General features: G+C 40.8%; 1 annotated feature.

Moving 5' to 3' along the window:
- Positions 2,221-2,722: an enhancer, noted in NCBI's record as "H3K4me1 hESC enhancer chr8:137207595-137208096 (GRCh37/hg19 assembly coordinates)". NCBI's record gives its function as "activates a minimal SCP1, AML or CMV promoter by ChIP-STARR-seq in primed H9 embryonic stem cells {active_cell/tissue: H9 hESC(primed)}" and the evidence as "EXISTENCE:reporter gene assay evidence [ECO:0000049][PMID:30033119]".

The following is a 9,630-nucleotide window of genomic DNA, read 5'->3' as shown; positions in this document are numbered from 1 at the left end:
AAGACCATCGATGTGTCTAAAATCCAGTCACTCCACTGGACAATTTATTAACCATTTGCGCTTTACAGGACAACTCAAGGGGATGACGACTAGCAGGTGACTTTGCTAATTCTGGTATGCTCTGCAAATGTGAGGGGTCACTCTTATTATTTTTACTCCTGTTTTTATTTTACAAAATCTAACCAGTGGCCCAGGACAAAATGCATCCAGCTGCACTGATGAATACTGCCTGCCTCTGCAATTGCCTTCTTCATTTGTTTCTATTTCAAACACTCTGTGAACAGAGTAATTGAGTTTGAATTGCTTGGGGGATCCTCCCCCCTCATGATTCCATTCAAGGAGAAGCTCATAGTTGTTAATGATTTATTATTTTCCCTCCTAAGTATATTTGGTACGTGTGCCCAGCACAGTAGCTACATAAGGGGAGCACACACGTGCCATCACTTCCAATACAGACATGAATAAATCCAGGGCAGCCCTTCTGCCTTGATCACTTATGGAAGCAGCTCTTGTATACTCTAAAATGGATTATTTTTTTAATCTCACAGCCCCTCTCGTGGGAGCTGTGTCTAAATTAACTCCGTGTCCTCAAGCACCCTGGCTTCCACCCAACCCTTAATGTTTCCACTGCTCTGAGAAGGCAAGAAGGACTCTGTAAGTTTTCAATTGCAGAGATATTCCTGTGAATTTCAGCCCACCTGTAAATAAAAACAGCTCAAGTATTTCAGATCAGTCATTACATGCTAAGCTGTGTCATAAGCTTTTAACAAGTGTAGCTTTTTTTTAAGACTTAAAACTCAGTGAGGTAAGAATTATTATTGTCTTATTTTATAGGTGCAGTGGTTTTAAAATATGACTGTGAATTCTTAGATATTTCTTCCATGATAAGGTGACGTCTATGCCCTCTTCCCTTATATCTGGGCAGGCTATGACTGCTGGCCAATAGAAAACAATAGAAAAGACACTCTGACTCCAGAAGCTTGGTCATCAAAGGCCATGTAACAATCACCTTCATTACTGGAAATCTCACTTTGGGATCCTAGAACCATCATGTAAGAATTTCTAGCACTCTACCTGTAGAGGCCCTGCCTGCCCTTTGGTCAATAGTTGCATATGAAGCCAGTCTCCCAATCATCACTGCCAAGGTGCCAGACATGAGAGAAGCCTTTCCTGGATACCCTAGACCAGCCACCTACCAACGGAATACCATCAAGTGACATCTGTCAACACTGGGGAGAAAAACAACAGCTCAACCAATCTCTGCCCAGATTCTCACCTGGAAAATTATGAGATATATAAAAATAGATGTTAATTTAAGACATTAAATTTTCGGGGAGTCTCTAGACACACAACAGTAAATTACCTAGATACCAGTTGAAGAAAGTGAGGCAAAAAATAGTGAAGAACTTATCCAAGGTCGCAATGATATGTCATGAATTGGAATTAGACTCCAGAGAGTCTGATTCTAGAAACTAACTTCATATATAGCCTTTTAGTCATAAATCCATAACCATATGATAATGACATTTTGAATATAGACTGGAGAAAAAAAGTAGGATCTGACTCAACAAAAGAAGTGAGTTCTTACAGCAAATGCTGTCCAAACAGTAAAGTCGGGACAGTTTCAGCTTTTAAAGATATGGGATAGTCAAATATTATAGCTTTAAATTCTTCTCCAACCCCCTATCAATTGTGTAGCCCTGACCCAATAAGTGAACTTTTCTAAACCTCCACTTTCTCTTTTGTAAAATGTAAAGATAATAACTGAGAGATTCACATGAGACCAGATCTAGCACATAGTATACACTCAATTTTAAATGTTGAAAAAAATCTTAGAAGATAATTTCCTTGGGGGGAGGAGCCAAGATGGCTGAATAGGAACAGCTCCGGTCTACAGCTCTGAGCCTAAGCGACTCAGAAGATGGGTGATTTCTGCATTTCCATCTGAGGTACCGGGTTCATCTCACTAGGGAGTGCGAGACAGTGGGTGCAGGTCAGTGGCTGCGCGCACAGTGTGTGAGCCGAAGCAGGGCGAGGCATTGCCTCACTTGGGAAGCACAAGGGGTCAGGGAGTTCCCTTTCTGAGTCAAAGAAAGGGGTGACAGACAGCACCTGGAAAATTGGGTCACTCCCACCCAAATACTGCGCTTTTCCGATGGGCTTAAAAAACGGCGCACCACGAGATTCTATCCGGCACCTGGGTCGGAGGGTCCTACGCCCACGGAGTCTTGCTGATTGCTAGCACAGCAGTCTGAGATCAAACTGCAAGGCAGCAGCCAGGCCGGGGGTGGGGCGCCCGCCATTGCCCAGGCTTGCTTAGGTAAACAAAGCAGCCGGGAAGCTCCAACTGGGTGGAGCCCACCACAGCTCAAGGAGGCCTGCCTGCCTCTATAGGCTCCACCTCTGGGGGCAGGGTACAGACAAACAAAACGATAGCAGTAACCTCTGCAGACTAAAATGTCCCTGTCTGACAGCTTTGAAGAGAGCAGTGGTTCTCCCAGCATGCAGCTGGAGATCTGAGAACAGGCTGACTGCCTCCTCAAGTGGGTCCCTGACCCCTGACCCCCGAGCAGCCTAACTGGGAGGCACCCCCCAGCAGGGACAGACTGACACCTCACACGGCAGGGTACTCCAACAGACCTGCAGCTGAGGGTCCTCTCTGTTAGAAGGAAAACTAACAAACAGAAAGGACATCCACACCAAAAACCCATCTGTACATCACCATCATCAAAGACCAAAAGTAGATAAAACCACAAAGATGGGGAAAAAACAGAACAGAAAAACTGGAAACCCTAAAAAGCAGAGCGCCTCTCCTCCTCCAAAGGAAAGCAGTTCCTCACCAGCAATGGAACAAAGCTGGATGGAGAATGACTTTGATGAGCTGAGAGAAGAAGGCTTCAGATGATCAAATTACTCTGAGCTATGGGAGGACATTCAAACCAAAGGCAAAGAAGTTGAAAACTTTGAAAAAAATTTAGAAGAATGTATAACTAGAATAACCAATACAGAGAAGTGCTTAAAGGAGCTGATGGAGCAGAAAACCAAGGCTTGAGAACTACGTGAAGAATGCAGAAGCCTCAGGAGCCGATGCGATCAACTGGAAGAAAGGGTATCAGCGATGGAAGATGAAATGAATGAAATGAAGCGAGAAGGGAAGTTTAGAGAAAAAAGAATAAAAAGAAATGAGCAAAGCCTCCAAGAAATATGGGACTATGTGAAAAGACCAAATCTACATCTGATTGGTGTACCTGAAGGTGATGGGGAGAATGGAACCAAGTTGGAAAACACTCTGCAGGATATTATCCAGGAGAACTTCCCCAATCTAGCAAAGCAGGCCAACATTCAGATTCAGGAAGTACAGAGAACGCCACGAAGATACTCCTTGAGAAGAGCAACTCTAAGACACATAATTGTCAGATTCACCAAAGTTGAAATGAAGGAAAAAATGTTAAGGGCAGCCAGAGAGAAAGGTCGGGTTACCCTCAAAGGGAAGCCCATCAGACTAACAGCGGATCTCTCGGCAGAAACCCTACAAGCCAGAAGAGAGTGGGGGCCAATATTCAACATTCTTAAAGAAAAGAATTTTCAACCCAGAATTTCATATCCAGCCAAACTAAGCTTCATAAGTGAAGGAGAAATAAAATACTTTACAGACAAGCAAATGCTGAGAGATTTTGTCACCACCAGGCCTGCCTTACAAGAGCTCCTGAAGGAAGCACTAAACATTGAAAGGAACAACTGGTACCAGCTGCTGCAAAATCATGCCAAAATGTAAAGACCATCGAGACTAGGAAGAAACTGCATCAACTAACGAGCAAAATAACCAGCTACCATCATAATGACAGGATCAAATTCACACATAACAATATTAACTTTAAATGTAAATGGACTAAATGCTCCAATTAAAAGACACAGACTGGCAAATTGGATGAAGAGTCAAGACCCATCAGTGTGCTGTATTCAGGAAACCCATCTCACATGCAGAGACACACATAGGCTCAAAATAAAAGGATGGCGAAAGATCTACCAAGCAAATGGAAAACAAAAAAAGGCAGGGGTTGCAATCCTAGTCTCTGATAAAACAGACTTTAAATGAACGAAGATCAAAAGAGACAAAGAAGGCCATTACATAATGGTAAAGGGATCAATTCAACAAGAAGAGCTAACTATCCTAAATATATATGCACCCAATACAGGAGCACCCAGATTCATAAAGCAAGTGCTTAGTGACCTACAAAGAGACTTAGACTCCCACACATTAATAATGGGAGACTTTAACACCCCACTATCAACATTAGACAGATCAACGAGACAGAAAGTCAACAAGGATACCCAGCAATTGAACTCAGCTCTGCACCAAGCAGACCTAATAGACATCTACAGAACTCTCCACCCCAAATCAACAGAATATACATTTTTTTCAGCACCACACCACACCTATTCCAAAATTGACCACACAGTTGGAAGTAAAGCTCTCCTCAGCAAAAGTAAAAGAACAGAGATTACAACAAACTATCTCTCAGACCACAGTGCAATCAAACTAGAACTCAGGATTAAGAATCTCACTCAAAACCGCTCAACTACATGGAAACTGAACAACCTGCTCCTGAATGACTACTGGGTACATAACGAAATGAAGGCAGAAATAAAGATGTTCTTTGAAACCAATGAGAACAAAGACACAACATACCAGAATCTCTGGGACGCATTCAAAGCAGTGTGTAGAGGGAAATTTATAGCACTAAATGCCCACAAGAGAAAGCAGGAAAGATCCAAAATTGACACCCTAACATCACAATTAAAAGAACTAGAAAAGCAAGAGCAAACACATTCAAAAGCTAGCAGAAGGCAAGAAATAACTAAAATCAGAGCAGAACTGAAGGAAATAGAGACACAAAAAACCCTTCAAAAAATTAATGAATCCAGGAGCTGGTTTTTTGAAAGGATCAACAAAATTGATAGACCGCTAGCAAGACTAATAAAGAAGAAAAAAAGAGAGAAGAATCCAATAGACGCAATAAAAAATGATAAAGGGGATATCACCACAGTAATACAAACTACCGTCAGAGAATACTACAAACACCTCTACGCAAATAAACTAGAAAATCTAGAAGAAATGGATAAATTCCTGGACACATACACTCTCCCAAGACTAAACCAGGAGAAGTTGAATCTCTGAATAGACCAATAACAGGAGCTGAAATTGTGGCAATAATCAATAGCTTACCAACTAAAAAGAGTCCAGGACCAGATGGATTCACAGCCGAATTCTACCAGAGGTACAAGGAGGAATTGGTACCATTCCTTCTGAAACTATTCCAATCAATAGGAAAAGAGGGAATCCTCCCTAACTCATTTTATGAGGCCAGCATCATTCTGATACCAAAGCCAGGCAGAGACACAATCAAAAGAGAGAATTTTAGACCAATATCCTTGATGAACATTGATGCAAAAATCCTCAATAAAATACTGGCAAAACGAATCCAGCAGCACATCAAAAAGCTTATCCACCATGATCAAGTGGGCTTCATCCCTGGGATGCAAGGCTGGTTCAATATACGCAAATCAATAACTGTAATTCAGCATATAAACAGAGCCAAAGACAAAAACCACATGATTATCCCAATAGATGCAGAAAAAGCCTTTGACAAAATTCAACAACCCTTCATGCTAAAAACTCTCAATAAATTAGGTATTGATGGGACGTATTTCAAAATAATAAGAGCTATCTATGACAAACCCACAGCCAATATCATACTGAATGGGCAAAAACTGGAAGCATTCCCTTTGAAAACTGGCACAAGACAGGGATGCCCTCTCTCACCACTCCTATTCAACATAGTGTTGGAAGTTCTGGCCAGGGCAATTAGGCAGTAGAAAGAAATAAAGGGTATTCAATTGGGAAAAGAGGAAGTCAAATTGTCCCTGTTTGCAGACGACATGATTGTATATCTAGAAAACCCCATTGTCTCAGCCCAAAATCTCCTTCAGCTGATAAGCAACTTCAGCAAAGTCTCAGGATACAAAATCAATGTACAAAAATCACAAGCATTCTTATACACCAACAACAGACAGAGAGCCAAATCATGAGTGAACTCCCATTCACAATTGCTTCAAAGAGAATAAAATACCTAGGAATCCAACTTACAAGGGATGTGAAGGACCTCTTCAAGGAGAACTACAAACCACTGCTCAAGGAAATCAAAGAGGATACAAACAAATGGAAGAACATTCCATGCTCATGGGTAGGAAGAATCAATATCGTGAAAATGGCCATACTGCCCAAGCTAATTTACAGATTCAATGCCATCCCCATCAAGCTACCAATGACTTTCTTCACAGAATTGGAAAAAACTACTTTAAAGTTCATATGGAACCAAAAAAGAGCCCACATCGCCAAGCAATCCTAAGCCAAAAGAACAAAGCTGGAGGCATCACACTACCTGACTTCAAACTATACTACAAGGCTACAGTAACCAAAACAGCATGGTACTGGTACCAAAACAGAGATATAGATCAATGGAACAGAACAGAGCCCTCAGAAATAACGCCGCATATCTACAACTATCTGATCTTTGACAAACCTGAGAAAAACAAGCAATGGGGAAAGGATTCCCTATTTAATAAATGGTGCTGGGAAAACTGGCTAGCCATATGTAGAAAGCTGAAACTGGATCCCTTCCTTACACCTTATACAAAAATCAATTCAAGATGGATTAAAGACTTAAACGTTAGACCTAAAACCATAAAAACCCTAGAAGAAAACCTAGGCATTACCATTCAGGACATAGGCATGGGCAAGGACTTCATGTCTAAAACACCAAAAGCAATGGCAACAAAAGCCAAAATTGACAAATGGGATCTAATTAAACTAAAGAGCTTCTGCACAGCAAAAGAAACTACCATCAGAGTGAACAGACAACCTACAAAATGGGAGAAAATTTTCGCAACCTACTCATCTGACAAAGGGCTAATATCCAGAATCTACAATGAACTCAAACAAATTTACAAGAAAAAAACAAACAACCCCATCAAAAAGTGGGCGAAGGACATGAACAGACACTTCTCAAAAGAAGACATCTATGCAGCCAAAAAACACATGAAAAAATGCTCATCATCACTGGCCATCAGAGAAATGCAAATCAAAACCACAATGACATACCATCTCACACCAGTTAGAATGGCAATCATTAAAAAGTCAGGAAACAACAGGTGCTGGAGAGGATGTGGAGAAATAGGAACACTTTTACACTGTTGGTGGGACTGTAAACTAGTTCAACCATTGTGGAAGTCAGTGTGGCGATTCCTCAGGGATCTAGAACTAGAAATACCATTTGACCCAGCCATCCCATTACTGGGTATATACCCAAAGGACTATAAATCATGCTGCTATAAAGACACATGCACACGTATGTTTATTGTGCCATTATTCACAATAGCAAAGACTTGGAACCAACCCAAATGTCCAACAATGATAGACTGGATTAAGAAAATGTGGCACATATACACCATGGAATACTATGCAGCCATAAAAAATGATGAGTTCATGTCCTTTGTACAGACATGGATGAAATTGGAAATCATCAATCTCAGTAAACTATCGCAAGAACAAAAAACCAAACACCGCATATTCTCACTCATAGGTGGGAATTGAACAATGAGATCACATGGACACAGGAAGGGGAATATCACACTCTGGGGACTGTTGTGGGGTGGGGGGAGGGGGGAGGGATAGCATCAGGAGATATACCTAATGCTAGATGATGAGTTAGTGGGTTCAGCGCACCAGCATGGCACATGTATACATATGTAACTAACCTGCACAATGTGCACATGTACCCTAAAACTTAAAGTATAATAATAAAAAAAAAAAGTCAAAAAAAAAAAAAAAAGATAATTTCCTCCCCCAGGGAAATCCACACACCAAGTATGTATAAAACAGTGGTTGGGACATTTGTCAATGGCTGATCACTGAGGAGGTGCTAGTGGAAACCACTCAGTAGAGGTCGGAAATTGTGACAAACATCCAGCAGTGCACAGGCGAGTGCCTGTTTCTGCTCCCCACTAGCAAAGAATTATCTATTGTACAATTTTGATATTGCTGCTGTTACTAACACTTTATAAAGGGATCTTTACATTGTGTAGAAGTTGAAATAGATAATACCTAAGATCCCAGCAAGATTCAATTGCAGGACTCAAAAATGCTATTATTTCAGTTTTCTAACACACTTGGATTCTGACCTTTAACAATTCTATGATCCCAAGATTATAGGAAACCTATAAGGTTTTAAGTGATATGATTCTAAGAAGCCACAATTCTAAATTTCTAAGATTCTATTTATTATTGTAAGGTTTCTTTCAGTATAAGACTGCTTTTCTAAGCTTCTATGATGTTAAGATCTTGAGAGGCTTTTTATCTTAGATTGTAAGGTATCTTGAGGTTATGTTTCTAATAAGCTCTATCTCAAGAAACAGGGCTGCTTTTATTCTAAGATAACGAATGCTGCAGTTCTAAGATGCTAACGCATCGTAATGTACGTTTCTAGATTTATGTATCCAGAACACGGAAATGTACTGTGTTGAGGTGAGGTGTTAGTCTATATCCCATAGCTTAGATTCCCAAACTGTTTGATCTGGTTTTATAATCGACAAGCAATGTTTGAGGAATAAGATGGGCATTGAAATGCTTCTTTCAGTAAAGGAAAGTTTAGTAGCTATGATAGAATATAGAGTTGCTGGCCCAGTTTTAACTAAGTTCATGTTCTTGGATATAAAGAGGACACTAACATTTATATCCATTACCTTGAAAAAGCATATCTCATGGGATACACTTATAAGGTAACTTTATTTTTATCTCCTGTTTTCCCTTTACATTTATTCTGCAGTGATGGTTATGTTCTGCCCCTGGATTGCATTTAGGGTAAGTCTTGTACTTTTTCTGGTCATGCATAAGTAAGTAGTATATAGGAAATTAAGAAAGAATTAGTTTGTCTAGATGTTCCAGTGGAATAATCAAAACTTTTTTTTTTTTTTTTTTTTTGGTGAGACGGAGTTTCACTCTGTTGCCCAGGCTGGAGTCCAGTGGTGTGATCTCAGCTCACCGCAACCTCTGTCTCCTGGGTTCAAGCGATTCTCCTGCCTTAGCCACCTGAGTAGCTGGACTTACAGACATGTGCCACTCTCAGCTAATTTTTGTATTTTTAGTAGAGATGGGGTTTCACCATGTTGGCCAGACTGATCTTAAATTCCTGAGCTCAAGTGATCTGCCCGCTTCGGCCTCCAGAAGTGCTGGGATTACAGGCGAAGACTTTAAACTTAATCAATATTGCAGCTACTTCTCTTTCCTGGGTCTGGCTCCCTGAACTCCAAGAGAGGTGCATGGTTGGCTTCGTTTTTCTTCCTCTAAATTGCTCTTTTACTATCTCATCCTATCTTCCTAAGCCTGATTCAGACCCCTCCAGGCTAGAGAATAGGAATGGGGCAGAAGGAGGGAGAAAAGAGGTGGAGAATATATTACTTAAGTAGAACTGTTGAGAGAGAACACAGGTTCTCCTTGAGGCTGGCAAGTGTCTAACCCTGCCTCTCAGAAAACATCTGTGAATTTCTGCAGATAATGTTAGCACATCTGTA

The sequence above is a fragment of the Homo sapiens genome, chromosome 8 (assembly GCF_000001405.40).
Source record: "Homo sapiens chromosome 8, GRCh38.p14 Primary Assembly".
NCBI lineage: Eukaryota > Metazoa > Chordata > Mammalia > Primates > Hominidae > Homo > Homo sapiens.
The sequence above is the reverse complement of the archived record's forward strand: the minus strand, read 5'-3'. Positions and strand labels throughout refer to the sequence as shown.